This window comes from Homo sapiens, chromosome 3 (genome assembly GCF_000001405.40).
Source record: "Homo sapiens chromosome 3, GRCh38.p14 Primary Assembly".
NCBI classification, from domain to species: Eukaryota; Metazoa; Chordata; class Mammalia; order Primates; family Hominidae; genus Homo; species Homo sapiens.
In genome coordinates this window covers 102,687,086-102,705,925 of record NC_000003.12, presented here as the reverse complement: position 1 = coordinate 102,705,925, position 18,840 = coordinate 102,687,086, and the positions used below count along the sequence as shown (strand labels likewise).

Genomic DNA, 18,840 nt, shown 5'->3' with positions numbered 1-18,840 from the left:
GGAGAATAACTTGAACCCGGGAGGCAGAGGTTGCAGTGAGCTGATATCAGGCCACTGTACTCCAGCCTAGATGACAGAGCGAGACTCTGTCCCCCCTCCAAAAGAAAAAAGAAAAAAAGGTGAGTCTTAGTATTGGGTGAGCTCTTAGATGAAAGAGAGCTATTTAATAGTGCAGAGGAAGATGCTTATGTGACTCTGTCTTCTTTCAGGACTCTTCATGTTCTCCCTCATTGACAAAGGGCAGTGGATTTCTGGAAATCTATTTTCAGTAGACTTCAGTAACTCAATTTTACCTATCCACACTGTGTGGTATAGTATCATCATGTAAAAATCAGAAGCATCAAAAATCAGACAAACCTAGACTCACTCCTCAATTCTTTTACCAGGTAACCTTGAGTTAATTACTATAAGTTTCAGCTTCTAAGAGTAGTATTGGAATTTATCAAAGGGTTATTATGAAGATTAAAGAGATAACATGTGAAGTGACAGACACATGGTAGGTACTCTAAAAACCTTTTTATTATTATTATTATCTCTTAGAAACCACCTGCTATGCATGCTCTAAATCAGTGATGCTCACACTGTGCACCACAAATCCCTCAGGTTCTGTGAAGGAGCCTAACTGTTTAAAGATGGGGAGAGGGGGTGAAGACGATACTAAGTGGGAATGGAGTGAGGATCGGTGCTGAGGAAGAGGCCCTGTGGATGGGGCCCTCAGTCAGAGCTACTCCAATGTTACAATTTGTTTTTTTTTTTTTTTTTTTGTATTTTGAAGTGCTGAATGTAATTCTCTTTTCACAAAGGAAACAGTTTAGATTTCTTTATCTGATTATAAAAAATGCATAATCATTTAAATACTCTTTAACCACCCATAAAAGCAGACCTGTACTTAACTCATTGAATGAACTCAGTTAATTCATTCAAAGAGCCAGACTCAGTGAAGTACAAACAGCATTGTTAGCAATTTTTTTTTTTTTTTTTTTTTTTTTTTGAGACAGAGTCTTGCTCTGTCATGCAGGCTGGAGTGCAGTGGCATGATCTCGGCTCACTGCAACCTCAGCCCCCTGGGTTCAAGCAATTCTCCTGCTTCAGCCTCCTAAGTAGCTGGGCTTACAGGAACTCACCATACTTCTGGCTATTTTTTTAGTAGAGACAAGGTTTCACCATGTTGGCCAGGCTGGTCTCTAACTCCTGACATCAAGTTATCCACCCACCTTGGCCTCCCAAAGTGCTGGGATTACAGATGTGAGCCACCACATCGGCCTGTTAGCACTTCTTTAAATCTCCCTGTTTGACTTGTTTTCCCCTATCTCTGAATGAGATTTCAAGTGGGGCCTATAATTTTCTTGGACATTTGCATGAATTAATAAATGATTTCCATATTCAGAGAAGAACTTTGTAGTGCAGTCTACTAACAGCATTTCAGCATCTCATTCAATTTAAGGCTTCTCTCTTCCAGGCTCAGGCTTGGAAGTCTGCTGTGGGAGAGGGAGTGGGTTTTGTCCATTTTTCTTACATTGTTTCTGTACAGAGTTGCAGGTGAGTGTGGTGGAACAGTAGTGAGGAGGAGTTGTTGGGAAGAGAGGAAGGTAAGAGAAAAAAGTCTCACATGACTAGCATAGTTGCAATTTGACATGATTACTCTCTTGCTGTGACAGATGTTCAATCTGACTTCTTTCTCTCAAGCAACACTTTTGATGGTTGTAGAAAGACACTTGATGCTGAAACTACTTCATGATGTGGGCAATGCCTCCTCTGGTCATCAATTAGAAATATGCCCCCTGAGACTAGCCTTCACTAGCATGTGCCATTCAGACACCCTCTGTCTTAGTCCATTGAGGCTTCTATAACAAACATACTATAGACTGGGTGACTTTCACAACAAACATATATTTGTCAACAGTTCTCTAGGCTGGGAAGTGCAAAATCAAGGTGCCAGAAGATTCAGTGTCTCGTGAGGGCTGGATCATTAATTCATAGATGGTGCCCTCTCCTGGTATCCTCACATAATACAAAGAATGAGGGAGCTCTCTCAGGTCTCTTTTATAAGGATACTAATTACATTCATGAGGGCTCCACCTTCATGACCTAATCACCTCACAAAGCCTCACTTCCTAATATCATCACACTAGAGGTTAGGATTTCAATGTATGAATTTTAGGGGAATGCAATTATCATCTGCAGCACCCTCCTTTGGGCTCAGTTAATCATCTGGGTGGAACTCTTGCACAAAGCACTCTTCCAGATGACCCCAGTCTGGATCCCTTAAGTGGAATCTACGTCTTACCCACCAGAAACATGTAGGCATCCTTTCTCCACCAAACTCCAGGAGCCGTTTCCAACACAGCACAGCCTTTCCTGCAGAGACTGCCCTAGCAGGATTCTCATTTAAGATTTTTTATGAGTTCCCAATTCCCTTATACTGTGGAGGATTGAAGCATAGACACTTAATTGAAGAGTTGGGGAAAACCTGTTCTCTAAATGGGAAAGAGAGGGAATGCCTCAGTAATCTTATTTGTAGGGAAAAACAAAATTCCCACAGTATTCAAATCTTCTTTTAGGTAGCTCGGAACTATTTATAGTTACTTGACCCATCTTATTCCCAAAGTTAGGTTCTCAGCTATAACTATAGGATATAAATCTCCTGAAAATTGGCCAGGCATGGTGTCTCATGCCAGCAATACCAGCACTTTGGGAGGCTGAGGCAGGCAGATCACTGGAGGCCAGGAGTTTGAGGCCAGCTGGGCAACATGGTGAAACCCCTTCTCTACTAAAAATACAAGAATTAGCTGGGTGTTTGACAGGCACCTGTAATTCCAGCTATTTGGGAGGCTGAGGCATGAGAATCTCTTGAGCCCAAGTGGCAGAGGTTGCCGTGATCCGAGATTATGCCACTGCTCCAGCCTGGGTGACAGAGGGAGACTCTGTCTCAAAAAATAAAACTAAAAATAAATCCCCTGAAATGTCACCGCTTTGAAATTTCCACAAGCAAAATGTTGGTAAATATTTGCATAATCGAGATGATAGCAAACACTGTTTTTATTATTGACTTCTTTCCATTTTCTTGTACACTTTTGCTTGTCTTCTCTTCCCCCTTTACCTGTACAACCAGTATTGACAATCTGGTGGGTGTCCTTTCATAACTTATAATTATGAATACATAACAATAAAAAGTTTCTTATTTTTATTTTTTAAATTTTCCCTTTTTTCTATTTTTTTCTTCCTTTTTATTCTCAAATCATGCAGAAGAGGTTGTTATTGTTTGTCTTACTTAGAATGATTGGAGTCTATGTGCTTATCAGTCTTCTGTTTATATCATTTAATACTACATCTTGAAAATGTCTCCTAAGTCAACTGCCCCAGAGAAAATTTTACATTTTCCCTAGCTAAATTATTGCATGTTATGGATTAACACTAATTTATTCAAACATTCTCCTTTTGATGGACATCCACTTTGTTTTCAGTTTTCATATGAGCTAGTGTTTTCTTTTTCCATAGAATAGATTCCCAGCTGAGGCTATGCTGAGTTGAAGAGTGTGTACATTTTAAATTTTAATAGCTGTTGCCAGATTTCTTTCTAAGAAAGCTTTAAAAAATATCATTTCTATGAACAAAATGTGAGCCTATCTTTTATTCTATGACCCCTACAAGAAGTGTTATTCCTTCTTATAATTTTTATTTCTAAGTGTAAGGTGTGTGTCATTTTTTAAAGCAAGCATTTCCCGATTACCAGTGAGACTGAGCTGCTGTCAGTATGCTTATTGGCTCGCTGAATTTATTCTTTTGTGAACTACCTATTCATGCACTTTGTTCATTTTTCTATTGTTTCTTTTTGTCATTTTCATATCAATTCATAACTAGTAGCTCATTTTATTCTATAATTGTTGATCTCTCATAAGCATTGTGAATATTTCTCTCAATCATTTGCTATCAACTTTGTGTGTATTATATTTTACCATAGAAATATTTTTTGTAAACATTTATATAGTCAAATGTAGTTTTTTTATTTGTTTTAGTTGGGATTTTTGTTTTTATAGCAGGGAATTTTGTCTTTATTACACAATCCATCCGAACTGCTGGATTATACATAGATTTTTATATATGTGTATTTGTAGTATGTATAATTTATATAGTTTTTTAAATTTAAATATTTAGTGCATCTATAGTTTAGTTTTTTTGTTGGTGGGGGGGGTTGATTTTTTTTTTTTCTTTGAGACAGAGTTTCACTCTTGTTACCCAGGCTAGAGTGCAATGGCACGATCTCGGCTCACTGCAACCTCCGCCTCCCAGGTTTAAGCGATTATCCTGCCTCAGCCTCCCGAGTAGCTGGGATTACAGGCATGTGCCACCACACCTGGCTAATTTTTTTTTTTTTTTTTTTTTTTTTAGTAGAGACAGGGTTTCTCCATGTTGGTCAGGCTGGTCTTGAACTCCTAACCTCAGGTGATCCGCCGGCCTCGGCCTCCCAAAGTGCTGGGATTACAGGCGTGAGCCACTGTGCCCGGCCTATAGTTTAGTTTTTAATGTGAAATAAAATCCAGGTTTATTTTCTTTCTGAAAGATTGACAATTGTGCTGATTAATTAAAAACCATTTTTTACCACTCCAGGTGAATGAAAAAGTGATTATTTTATAAAAGTAAGTCAATGGTTCCTACCTTGGGTGAAATGACCAGTAAGTAAACAGAATTTTTTAGAAGTACTATTGCATTTGTTTATTATAACTTATAAAGAAGATTTAAATCCTTGCATTTTATCAGTAATTTCACAAATACCTGTTTATTCTGATGTTTTTTTATCTGCTCAGAGTCTACTTTAGAAATTTAAGATATTTTGGAAGCACTGATTGCTACTGAGCATGGGAACTGAGAAAGTATCTGAAGAACGTAATTTCTATCCATTTCTAAAGATTTTCATTAAATACAAGTGTGTATGTGTGTGTGGGTCTATATGTGTGTGCACATGTGTGTGATGGGGGTGGGAAGTGAGGAGTCAGTGGACCAAAAGAGAATGGAAGATTGAAGCAGAGGAAAAAACAGTTGCTCTTGGAAAGAAAATTGCCTTAATTTTCCTCCCCTATTTGCTTACATTCAACAGCTCTATGAACTTTATTTCAGTACATACAATTGACATTCCACTTTTACCTTTCCCCTTGGCATCGCTTGTTCATAAACATGTCCCTAAGCACTGTAGAAGTGGTCTGTGAAGAAAAGCACTAAATGCTACTCCTTGACAATTTCTTGTTTTAGGAGTCTAATTCCTTAGAAACAACATCAAGACAAAGCCATTCAATTTTTAATCACAGGTGATATAAATCATTATGTCAGTTAACTCTAGGGTCCATAAATCTCTAGAATGCAAATTTGTGACATAGGGGTGCAATTTACCAGTATTGGCTTTTTAAATTCAATTAGCATGATGAGATATGATAGAACTGATCTTTGCAATGATGCTTGCAACCATACCAAAAATAGAGGCTCTCAAGCTCACAGTCTGTTAGTATATTAAGTATCAGCTTCACGTTTTTCCTGTTCAGACTAATTGCTTCCTTAATCTGTGATTGCTGACACACGTGCAGTTGTGCAAGTTAATAGGAAGAAAGATGGTTCTGATACTCTTTGGTTTTATTATATTCTGTTTTTAATTGTCTTCACAACTAAAGTATCACCATTTTATTTGATGGTCTAATACATAGGAAATTCAACAACAAAACTTTATAAGATAGTTGTGGATAAACACTCAAAGTGTAACATACTCAAAGAGACCCAAGGCCAAATAGATTGATTTAAAATACAAATAATGTTGTGAGGGGTGGTAGAGATTCACCCTCATTGGAACTTGATCTGGTTTGCTTTGCTTGTTGAGATCACCTATCATTGTGAACTTTCAGAATCTGAGTTCTAAAGTTCCAATACACTTACCCTAATCTCATAGCAGGCACGCACACTGAGTCAAGTGCCCTGCAGCTGACTGATATGCTGATGCATTTTTAGAATGGAACAGGGTGAAGTTGAACCAATGCAGTGGCTAAAATAAGAAACCAATTAACTCCATTGTGAAGACAGCCACCCAAATCATTCCCCAAATAATTCAAAATGTTGGGCTGCAATACTGAAAACACATATTTGTTCTTTTTTTGGCATGCGTTTTTTATGTACATCTCAGTCTTTTCCTCCTACTCACAGAGGATCTCATCGTCCTCTTGTTCTGGAGGTTTCAGAGCTGTTATTATATCCACGCTCTCACATGATGCCTCTGTTAAGTTTGGTTCAGCATTTCCATTATAAAACCCATAAGCCTCCAGAACAAACTTATTATAACTGTCTATGAGGAAAAAAAAATTGCTTCCAGGCAAACTTTGTATATATTATATTCATTTTCAGTCCAAAGGCACTCATCTTCTTTAATATATTATAAAATAAAACTTCATACCATTGCTTTTACTTTCCTTAGTTGCTTCTGTCAGTATGATGACACGAAAAAATAAAATAGGGAAGCAAAGAACCATTCATTCCACATTTTGCCCATTTTTCTCCAAGACACTGTTCCATTTACATTTCCAGCCTGGAGTCAGAGTCTCAGGTCTGAACCACAATGACCTGAGTGTCCCTTTTACCAAAACTAGTTCTGGTCACTCTTAGACAGTCACATTTAGTCATGTCTAAGACTGACTCTTAGACAGTCACATATGGGCAATCAGGCTTCCACACAGGAGGGATTTTATTTTTCCATACTCAAGAGCAATCACGAATGAAAATACATAAAATGGAAAACACTGAGAACTTTCTAAAAATGACTTTAGAATAGATGGCTAAAAGAGATATTGTGCCAATTCAAGCTATCCCATTTTTGGATTGAATTTTTAAATTGTACAGAATATTTCTTCAAATTGTTGTACCATTTGATGTTAGAGGAAAAGAAAAGCTGACACAAGTCTGTAAAATGAGACTTTAACTACTGAATATTGATATAATTATCTTTCTTTAGTAATATAAATTTAGTAGTTAGGAAAACTATTTTTTTTTAGCACACATTGAGTCTGAGAGATATTTTTCCATTGGTTGGGTAAACATTTGTATCTCTAGTACGTCTTCATAATTAACACAGAGCAATGGAATCAACGACAAATTCCCAACTCCTCTGACTGGGTCTGAGAAGGAAATAAGTGACTTCTGTAGATACCTTTAAGAGGTGAAATGCCAGGGAAGGCTTGTTCAGAAAAGCGGTTAGTGGGGAGTCAGGGACTAGTTGGAAAAACTATAAACCATTTGATCCCTGATTCCATACCTAAATTGCTATGTTTGGCTCCCATCTTCTTCTCGTACAATCCTGAGGTCCATTCCTATTTCTATGACTCCTCACTGAACAGAGGGTCTGTAGAGGGTCCATGCAGGTGCTTCATATCCTAGAACCGCCTGTCGCTCTGCCTCTGCCATAAAGCCACTTTGACCCTGAAGCAAAATGTGCTCTTTCTGTTGATATTCTCTTCTCTGCTCTTAACCCTTTGGCTGGGCAAAGGAGTTTTCTACCTGTAGCTCCTCCTTTGAGCTCATCCAGAAGCTTGTGTGTAAGAGAAGCCAACAGATAATCCAAGCATTTTCCTGGGAGAGGCAAGTTAACTCAAACACAAGTCCTGAAACCGCCTTTGTAAAGATCATGACAATGAGAGAAATTTAACATGGCAGACTCATCTTGCTTCTAGCCTCACAGGCTGACTGTCCTCACTCATTCCTGGGCATAGGCCAGGTTAACCACGGGAGGAATTTAGATTATAGTTTAACTTGAAAGCAAGGATGATAATAGTCCCCCACTAAAATTAACCCCCTGCTTACTCAGGGACCAAAAACTGCCTTTGTAAAATTAATGAAAGGCTGCAAGAGTAGGATTATAGAAGGGGTCTGAAATATACTAAAATGTAGGTGTAGTTTTTATAAATTCTTATTGCTTAGGATTCATGTGGCTGAGGACTTCTCTAGTTGTTTCTATAGATACCATCACTATTGTAGAACCTGGGATTAGTCTTTTAAAATGTTTTTTCCGACTGACCCCATCCAGACTTGTGATTCATGACTTAACCATTCTCTGGTTCCCAGCCTAGAGGTGAATAAAGACCTTGTATTTATTTATTTATTTGTTTTTTTAGAAGGAGTCTTGCTCTGTTGCCCAGGCTGTAGTGCAGTAGCACAATCTCGGCACACTGTAACCTCTGCTTTCCAGGTTCAAGCGATTCTCCTGCCTCAGCCTCCCAAGTAGCTGGGACTACAGGCATGCACTACCACGTCTGGCTAATTTTTGTGTTTTTAGGAGAGATGGGGTTTCATCATATTGGCCAGGCTGGACTGGAACTCCTGACCTCGTGATCCACCCGCCTTGGCCTCCCAAAGTGCTGAGATTACAGGTGTGAGCCACTGTGCCCTTTTTTTTTTTTTTTTTTTTTTTTTTTTTTTTTGCGATGGAGTCTTGCTTTGTTGCCCAAGCTGGGATGCAGTGGCATGATCTCAGCTCGCTGCAACCTCTGCCTCCCAGGTTCAAGTGATTTTCCTGCCTCAGCCTCCTGAGTAGCTGGAACTACAGGCACATGCCACCATGGCCGGCTAATTTTTGGATTTTTTGTAGAGACAGGGTTTTGCCGTATTGGCCAGGCTGGTCTCAAACTCTTAACCTCAGGTAGTCCACCCACCTCGGCCTCCCAAATTGCTAGGATTACAAGCATAAGCCACCATGCCTTGCCCACAAGGACCATTTTACACACCCTTATGATTGCATCCCCAAACAATCAATAGCACCCATTCCCTAGTCCCCTCACCACCAAATTATCCTTGAAAAGCCCTAAACTCTAAGCCTTTGCAGAGATTGATTTGAGTGATAACTCTTTTCTCCCACATGGACAGCCTCACATTAGTTAACTCTTTCTTTACTGCAATACCAAGGTCTCAGTGAATTGGTTTTGTCTGTGCAGCAAGCAGGACGAACCCATTGGGTGATCACAGTCCCAAAGAAAAACACAGGCATACCCAGCATCCTACAGTAAAATAAAATAAAGAGAGCTCATATTTCATTGTAGATATAAAAGAAGCTACATAAATGTCCTTATCTTTATGGATGTTCAAATGCTATTAGATGACATTTAGATATATCAGAAACTTTCTTTGAGAACCTACTTCAAGCCCAGCAGTGTGCTGAGAGTTGAGGATAGAAGTGTTACTAGAAAAAAGTAGAAGACAACGTTTTTGCCCTGATGCATTTAACAATCTTATTTGTCAATCAACAAGAGTGTCATGATCATGTCTCAGCTTTGGAATTTACAAAGCCAGTTTGTAAAACCTTAAGTGTTATGCATTGATTAGTATACACTAATGGATAACAGCTGAAATATGAATCATCAGAGTATTTTAATTTTTTGAGAAAATTACTAATCCTAAAAATAACATATCAGATTGACACTTTCTATGGAAGATGATATGTTTTCACAGCAAGAGAATGGACTTGATGCCAGAAAGACTTATCTCTGTGGTGGGGCTTAGAAACTGATACCCCAAGTGATGGTACTTTGACACGCTGAACTGAAGAAGCTTCAAAGTCTATCTGACCACCCACCCCATCTCCCACCAACTCTTAATTGTCTGTCTCCCCCAAACCACAGGATGAAGTTGTTCTCTAAAGTTCATCTGCCTAAAGTATGGACCCCCCAAAGAGAAGAATGTAACCACACCTGAAAAGACTCTTTTAACATAATGCCTGTCTCTCAGGCTCATTCAAATTCCAAAGATAACTGTTTATAAGTTAATCTTTGTTCCCAGTTCCATTCGTTCTCCTTAGCCATTATTTATTGCCCCTCAACAAGATTCCTCTTCTCTTCTTACCATAGCCTGTTCTTCCACCATAACTTGTTTGCCAGGATCCAAGCCCCTATTCTTCCTGTAAGCTCATGAGGTTATATAAGGTTCTGAGCTCCACTGGAAGTGGTGGGTAATTGCTCGGTGGTTGTCCTCATGCACTCATGTTAATACATTTGTTTGCTTTTTCTTCAATTAATCTGCCTTTTCTGAGTCGATTTTTCCGTGAACCTTCAGAGAGAGGAGGGGAAGTTTTTCCCTTGGCCCCTACAGTTTTGACCCTAAGAGCGGGATACCAAGGCTCTACTCTTTTGGAAGCCAAAGTTAAGGGAACCCAGGACCTGACAAGCTGGCAGAAGGTTAAGAAACTCTTATCAGACAGGTTCCTAGCCTCTCTTTCTAGATGGAATCCAGTCAAGCAGATGGCAAAAATCACTGTTGACTTCTTTTTCCCCTCCAAAATTTTGATTAATGAGAGAAAAGAATTTGTGTTACTAGTCTTGGGGGTAGCAACTCTGGTGCACTTTTTGGTACTATTTGGTATGCATATTCATATTGCTGATCCCTTTACTCCTATAAATGATCTTTTCCTTCGTCATTGTCTTTCTTTGTGGTTCTATCATGAAGAAGGGTACCAGATAAAGTTCTCTCTCATCTTGTTTTATGTCTTTGAGAATTGTCACCAAGTGAGAGCATTCACTCTTGAGACTCCTCAATCCAAAGGGAGTGATTTTGGGGTCATTCAGGTGGCCAGTTTGAAAATGGCTGGTAACCCAATAATTTTTGTTGTGATTGTGTCAAGCTCTCAGGAAAGTTTCTCTTAATAAGTCCCATCCATAAGGGGCTTCTGTCATTTCAACCCCTGTTGCTTGGTTGGTGCTGGGAAAGTCCCATCCCAGAAGGGCCTATTAATTAATAGGTGTCACAAATTAATGGGTCTGAGGGTCCCTACAAATTCATGAGTAACCAAAGGCAAACACCACCTTTAACCATCTGTAACAACAAGATTCTTTTGCTATCTTAGCTTATTCCTGGAGGTGAATTTTGTGTGAGTACCTGGGCTTTGTATGAAGAGGCTATTGGATTGAGTCACTATAGTAATTGAAAATTACAATATTATAATGGAAAATTCTAATCAATGGGCAAAGATAGATCCTTTAAATTAAAAAGACCTCTAAATTTTTTTAATTGTAATTTTAGAGTACCTTATTCTAAACAATTGCCTTATTTGAATTTATGGAAAAAATCAAAATTTAAAAACAAAGACACATAATAGTGTCATGACTAGCCTTTAAAGTTCTCTTGACTAAATTAAAAGGCAAAAATTTGACCTAAAACAAATTTAAAATCTTTTCTATACTCAAACTGCCTTTCTTTAGATTCTCTGCAGGATTAACAATAAAGGCTGTAGTCTGAGGACTACAGTTCTGCAACTTATAGTCTGATAGTTAAAACTGTGCTTTCACTGTTGCAGCCAGGGTTTGACTCCCAGCCAGGAAATTGTAACTGTCCAACAGGGTCACCTTGCCCACAGCCTAGACAGAGCCGATTTATCAAGACAGGGGAGTTGCAATAGAGAAAGAGTTATTCACACAGAGCCAGGCGTGCGGGAGACCAGAGCTTTATTATTACTCAAATCAATATCCCCGAGAATTCAGGGATCTGAGTTTTTAAGGATATTTTGGTAAGTAGGGACCAGTAAGTTGGGAGTGCTGCTTGGTTAGGTTGGAGATCAGAGAGTTGAAGCTGTTCTCTTGTGCTGTTAGTTCCTAGGTGGGGGCCACAAGATCAGATGAACCAGTTTATGCATCTGAATGGTGCCAGTTGATCCATCAAGTGTAGGATCTGCAAAATATCTCAAGCACTGATCTTAGGTTTTACAATAATGATGTTATCCCCAGGAACAATTTGGGGAGAATCAGAATCTTGTAGCCTCCAGCTGCATGACTCCTAAACTATAATTTCTAATATTGTGACTAATTTGTCACAATATTTCCAGCTTTTGATTTTTTTAACCAAAAGTACTCTCCCACCTCATAAGATTCAGAATACCATAACATCTCCTGAAATGAAACATGTCTCTTTAATGGGACCGGCCTATTCCTTGAAATGAAAGATGCTTTAAGGGGATACATTGCACTCAACTGTTAACTCAACTTTTCTCTTCACAGCTACCAACTCAGTTTAGTGTGTGAAACTTCTAGAAAAGTTCAGACAGAGGAATGTTAGGGATCACAAATGGGTAACCCAAAATGTGAAACTTTGACATGCAGAACTGAAGAAGCCTCTAAGGTCTCACTAACCTCCCTCTCTCCCACCATCACTCAATCCTCTGTCTTCCCTAAACTACAGGATAAAGTCATTCTCTTAAGCCCTTTATCTGCCTAAAGTCTGGACCCACCAAAGACAAAAATGTAATCTGAACAGACCCTTTTATAAAATAATGTCTGTCTTTCAGGGTCATTCAAATTCCAAAGGGAACTATTTACAAGTTAATCTCTGTTCCCAGTTCCATTTATTCTCCCTAGAAATCATTTAACAGAATTCTCAACAGAATTCTTCTTCTCCTCCCTCCAGTAGCCCATTCTGTCACCATAACCTGTTTTGCCAGGATCCAAGCCTTTATTCTTTCTGTAAACTTAAAATTGTACATAAGGTTCTGAACTCCACTGAGGGGATAGGAAATCACTCTATGATTCTTTCTATGTACACATTAATAAACATGTATGAATTTTTTTAATGAATTTGCCTTTTGTGATTTGATTCTTTAGCAAATCTTCAGAGGGCAAAGATGGAATTTTCCTCTTGACGCCCACTTCTGATAATTTACTACTCATGTGAACCTGGCAGGCAATTTTGACCTTTTTGCATTTAACCTTTCTAATCTATATAAAAGGGGAAATAACTCCTTCTTCAGATAGATGCTATATGAACAATTAAATGAACTAATACACAAAATGCCCAGTATGATAGTAGGCACTCCCTCTACCTACTTTTGAGAAGAGAACAAAAAGTTTCTCCACTCAGTTTTTATTTGCATTTTGGTGATGAGACTGATAGAGGCAGGAGGCAAACAAATGCCTAGGAAGATAAGGAAGGGTTCCTGGAGAATCTCCAACCCCCCCCAACAAGTGTTTACACCAGATATTTTTGTGCAGATTTGGGAGCCTGCACAGGGTCTTGCCTGGACATGCCCTCAATGAACTGGAGGCCCACATCCACTGGCGAAATGGTGTGAAGCCACCAGGAATTCATGCCTTTTGCAGGGGAGGAGCCTGGCATCTTTAGCTCATGTGTCATGGCCTAGTATTTATCTGTGATGGGGAAGCCTGCTTGGAGAATCCCTCTCTTTGCTGAGAGCTTTCCTTTCGTCTAATAAATTCTGTCCTCCTCACCCTTCAATGTGACTATGTGCCTAAATTTTCCTGGTCATGGGACAAGAACCCAGATTTAGCTGAACTCAAGACTAGAAAACCAATATGATTTTGTCATATTTTTGTTTGCTGAAAGGGAAACACATTCTTAAATTCACTTCTAAAACACCAACGTGTTGTATTTTCAGTCTTATGCTGAAAAAAAAAAAAACGCTGACTAAATATGAGTCCCTAATATCTGAATAGAAAATTACAAAATTCTTTTAAAAGTCAGAAGTCATTAAGAATCCCATACTCCACTAGGAAACTTACCTGTGACACTCTCATTCAGTTTCATTTTGCTCAATCCTGGTAAGAAATGCTCTGTGACCTTAACTTGAAAGTTGCTGATTTTATTATATTAAGTTCCCTGAAAACACAGGTCATGATCCTTCTTTTCCTCTCACAACCACAGAATCACATCAGACCCAAACTCTAATACGTTACCTTCAGATTTCAATCCAAAACAAACCAGAAATGGTAAGAGCTGGCTGATTGCACCTGTGAAATGACCAACCTGCACTCCAATTTAGCTCTCAGACCCTTCTCTTCAGCTTCACCAGTCGTTTGGCCTTTAATGGGTCTCTTTTGCTGTTTATCACTGTCTATCCCCATCAATTTTCATTGCTCTCTACAGCTTCTTTATCACTTTTTGTTGTCAAGAACATAACTACTTTTGGATCAGATGTTTGCCATAAATTCCTGAAATAGACATCTAGCCCATAAAGAATAGAAATGAATAGGCTAGTTTTAAATGTCACCGGTAGACAGTTCATCTCAGTAGGCGTGATTGTTAATACTTTCACATATCTAGTTCAAAATTGAAATTTTTCCAGTGCCCCAGGCATAATTATTTTCCTCCAAATGACTTGGAAGCCAGTATTACAGCATCCACCTACACATTGTATTTCACCAAAACACTGATATAAAGCAGAATCACAAAAATCTAATTATGTATGCTCCTTAGTGTTGGCAGCCTTGGTTTCTTAAAAAAGATTGTCTTATTGAGATGGAATAAAATTTGATAGCATTGGCAATTACTGACTTCTACTTTAGATTAATGTCCACATGTGAAAAAAATGTGGGGTTTTGCGATTCCAAATGTTTAAAAAAATGGCAATGACACTGGAAGTTTATATGGCATATTTCAGCTGACAGCACAATTTAGGATTGAGTTACACACTCTTAGAATGTAAACTTCCAAAAGAAATGCTGACAGGCCCTTTACTTATAGTGTATTTGCCTTTAGAATAATAGCAATATATTATATTTAAATAGACCCTTTTATAAAGCACTTTAAAAACTGTCAACCTGTATCTCTACTTCCTATACACACATCTCTCATGAAAGTCAATAGTAAAGCTATATATCTATTATTTATTTAGTTAGTTATTATGTATTTATTATATTTATGAGATTTGCCCATCATTTATTAGCCTCTGGGCACCTTTGCAAGTATCAGAGCTAAAAAAATAAGAAGACAGCCTATGTCATTATGATTTGCAAGTTATTCTAGACATCACGAAAGCAAGACATATTGCTTCCAGCTTTCTTGTCTTAGTAGATCAACACCCCTTCAAAAGCATACATTCATCAGAAGAAGAACACTTAGACTGATGCAGCTCAGAATTATTCCATAGGTTCAAGAACCAAGGAAGAAGCAATAAAATAGAATCAAAGGTGTTTGGTAGGTTATTGTTGTTGTTGCCTTATATTTATGTGTTATAAAGCATTGTTACATAGTGGAGGTTGGTAGATATGAGATACTATAAAGATACATTTGCATAAATAATTTATTTAATTTTGTCAAATTTACATTGCATCACTATTATGTGCTTAGCACTGTGCACAGGAATAAAACTTCAATCTTTATAAACTAAATATTGAGCTAACCTCTTTAGCAGACCTAGATAGGTAGAAAGAGTCCTCCAGCTCCAAGACTTTTGATAATCAAGTTAGAATCAAAGAGTATCATCAGAGAACATTGTGTTCTCCATATTAAATACTTTGATCCCAACAGAATACATGGATAGATTACATGGTTTAAAAATGATTTAAAAAAAAAAAAAGAACCCCAGACATTGCCTTTCACCTATAGCTCTCAGCATCTCTTTGCATATCCAGAAGAGATTCTGAGTTCTTACTCCAGTGTCTTCTTGGTTCTCTCATTGAGAAAATTCTAGGTTCTGGGTGCAGGGAGAATGGAATGGCAGTATTTTAGTCAATTTGGTCTGTAGAGTCTGTATATATATATATATATATATATATATATATATATATATATATATACATTTTCTCTATCATCTAGATAGCTAGATAGCTGTCTACCTATAGGTCTGTATAGATATATATAGAGAGATAGATATAGCTAATTGTATATATACGGAGAGAGACTTCCACGCCCTGGACCTTCACATCAATATAGTGAGTGACCTTGAGTTAGTAATAAATCTAGTGAGTTAGTATCCTAATGTCTTTAGCACAGCAGTAGCCTCCTTCCAACTGATTACTATGCTTGGAATTATTTTGAGATGTTGAAAGGAAAAATGTTCTATAAATACAAAATACATGCATAGTATAAAAATCCACCCTGTGTGTTTCTCTCTCTTTGCTGATAGAGCTCGTTCACCAGGACCTACTTTAGCACCTATTGGGGTTCAGAAAATGATTCCCCCAAATAACCGTCAGAGTGCAAAGGAAAAGTTTTCCCTTCACCCTATACACCTTTGCTTTTCCATTGATATTCTGGAACTCTGTTGAGAAAAGCATGTTAATTGCCTAGTGCTTAAACCAACTGGTATATCCCAAACTAACCCTGGTAAAAGTTCCTGCACTTCTGACCACTAGCCAATTTCAAATGTAGCTCCTCAGGGGCAGAGAACCAAAGCATTAATTTACTCTACTCTTGAAAGTTCATATCAATTCCCTTGTTCAATTTCTTCAGCTTCAGTACAAAGGAACTCCTCCAGTATAAATTTATGAAATGCATGTGCAACTAAACCTAGCTCAGAACATTTATGAAATACATTTATATATTTGATTTTTAGATGGTGTAAAGACAGATAAGTGGGGGTAGTTACATAATATAAAATGAAATAAACTTTAGGAAACTAAAGATTTATCTTTTCTTGGATTTTTTCCACAAGTTCACATTGTGGGGAGATCAGGCACAAGTGTAAAGGCATATTCAACTTTTAATATCTAAAGATGCAGGCTCACGCCTGTAATCCCAGCACTTTGGGAGGCCGAGGTAGGTGGATCATGAGGTCAGGAGATCGAGACCATCCTGGCTAACACAGTGAAACTGCATCTCCACTAAAAATACAAAAAAATTGGCTGGGCATGGTGGTGCGTGCCTGTAGTTCCAGCTACTCGGGAGGCTGAGGCAGGAGAATGGTGTGAACCCAGGAGGCGGAGGTTGCAGTGAGCCGAGATTGCATCACTGCACTCCAGCCTGGCAACAAAGCAAGACTCTGTCTCAAATAATAATAATAATAATAAGTAAATAAATAAAAGATGTGTGCACATATGAGAGGTATTTCTAGAACTTTCTAGTGATTTGTTAAAAATGATACCTCGAGGGCCATACAATAGTTTGTATTTATCTCTGAAATTCTATTCTAATTCAGAATAATTTATAAATAGCAACATTAAACATTTTTAGAGCACTGAAAATGTACAAATACAAAAATATAGCTCTAACCACTCCCTCACCATCATCCCTACCTTGAATTAAAATTGGCTTCTGATTAACTCAGAAAATTTCAGTTCATGATCAGATCCCTTCAATTCTCAGAAAAGGTAATTCACCTTTCTTTCTTCTCACATAGCATGTACCTTCAACCCTCTGATTTTTGAAGTCTGCAAGCATAGTACAGTGTAGTGATGTTAGAGATTTACATATCTTCTTCTTTCCTCCCTTTTTAAAACATTCTTTCGCTTTATCAGTGTCAGTCATTCAGGCACCCCTTTGGCAAGGGACTTGAAGGAAGGTGACAGCACCAGAGTAGAAGATGTTATATCAAAAAAAGACTGATGTTTTATGAATACTTCCTGTGATTGCAGATGTTCATTTAAAAATAGAAGCACAATAATTATTGGAGGGCTGTTTAAGTTACTTGAATTTTATTAAGGGAAAAATGATAAATAAAGCCTAAAAGCCAAGTGGGGAGGAAGAATGTAAAGGCTGGTAAAGGCAGGCCAGGTTGTTGTGGGATTTTATCCCTTAGGGGGCTTCATTTTGCACCACAGGTGGCCAAGAGGAATTTCATCCCATTACCTTACAACTGCAGAAAGCTTTGCATTTCGGCCCCCTAGGGTGCTCTCGCAGGCCTCCTGCTATTCCCCCTATTATTTTTGCAAGCATTACTGCCAAAGATGCTATTATTCTGGTTTACAACAGTTGATCACTGCTGTGAATTTCAGGCTGTAGACAAAATGGATTATTGAAAAAAAAGAAAAAAGAAAAAAAAAGAAAAGAAAAGAAAGAAAAAAGAAAAGAAAAGGATAAGGGAGCCCAGCAGCCCTCACACATACTTGCTCTCGGACAAGCTTTGTCAAATGCCCCACTTTAGAAGGTCATTAAGTCTTTCCGAATTTCCATTTCTATTATTGTTTACTGCTGATTACTGGTGATTACCAGGAATCATTAGTGGTTCCTGGTATCTAAACTGAGAACCTGTTTCCCTTTCTTTCTTTAGGGAATGCTAGTTAGCATTCCTGGGAGAAGTGAGTCTCTATGGCTTGCCCTTTTGAAACTGGTTTCCAAACAAAATGCATACTCATGAATATTTATTGATCATAAAAGTTTGGCAGATTAGAGCAGAAGAAGGGTAGCATGAGGAGTACCAACTCTTAAACCTGAGGTGAGTAGAGATGGTTCTCGTTCCCTTGATTTGTGTGTAGTGCCCATTCCTCATTATGCCAAAGCATTGTTGGATCCTTTCACTGCCAGACCCCATATGACCCATCAACCCCAGCCAGAGCATGCTTATCATGTTACTTATCAGACCATGTTTAATTGGTAGTGCTCATTTACTTATCTATCTTTTCTGCAAGACTATGAGATCGGGGGAGAATATATCAATCTTGCTGATTATTTTCTTGCCGTTGCCTAACAGAGGACCTGGTACAGGTGACAATAAATTCATTTTTGCTGTACAAATGAATAATGGACCTGTTTTTGTTGACATGATTGTCTTTGGTATGTACCATTGAAATAGAACGATAACAAGAAAAATAAGTTGTCTACAATGCATAAGAAAACAAAGGTTCAAGGCGTAGATCTAACTTAGTACCCATGAATCTGAAATTTTACCTGGGGAATTAAAATTCTTTTTCCTTTATTCTATGGTAAATATGATTGAAAAGCTAACAGACAGAGTTTGAAGAAGATTTTCTTAGTCATCATGTTCAGTTAGAGCAAGCATCTGCTGAAACCAAGGCGAATAAATTATAGGCATAGCTAATAAGGTCAGGAAGCTGCTAGTACCAAAATCCTGGGAATATACCTTAAGTCTTCAAATTACTCTTAAACAGATTAAGTAACTCCTTTAAAAAAGAATAGCAACCTATGAATAGTTATTTCAGAATA

General features: G+C 38.1%; 1 long non-coding RNA gene across 5 annotated transcripts in view, besides 1 other annotated feature; it reads left to right on the top strand.

Annotated features, from left to right (window-relative positions):
• The first annotated feature begins 340 nt into the window (after positions 1 to 340).
• The window catches only part of LOC105374016 (uncharacterized), a 137,553-nt gene continuing 119,053 nt past the window's right edge, over positions 341 to 18,840 (top strand). For 4 of the 5 annotated variants that reach the window (XR_001740824.2, XR_924286.4, XR_001740822.2 and 1 more), the window contains exons 1-3: positions 341 to 386; positions 4,609 to 4,637; positions 17,948 to 18,112. This is a non-coding gene — a long non-coding RNA (uncharacterized LOC105374016). Of the gene's footprint in view, positions 387 to 4,608; positions 4,638 to 17,746; positions 17,825 to 17,947; positions 18,113 to 18,840 lie in introns of those variants that run through there. The other variant, XR_001740823.2, reaches the window with a different exon arrangement.
• Positions 17,742 to 18,262: an enhancer, noted in NCBI's record as "OCT4-NANOG hESC enhancer chr3:102406508-102407028 (GRCh37/hg19 assembly coordinates)". NCBI's record gives its function as "activates a minimal SCP1, AML or CMV promoter by ChIP-STARR-seq in naive and primed H9 embryonic stem cells {active_cell/tissue: H9 hESC(naive and primed)}" and the evidence as "EXISTENCE:reporter gene assay evidence [ECO:0000049][PMID:30033119]".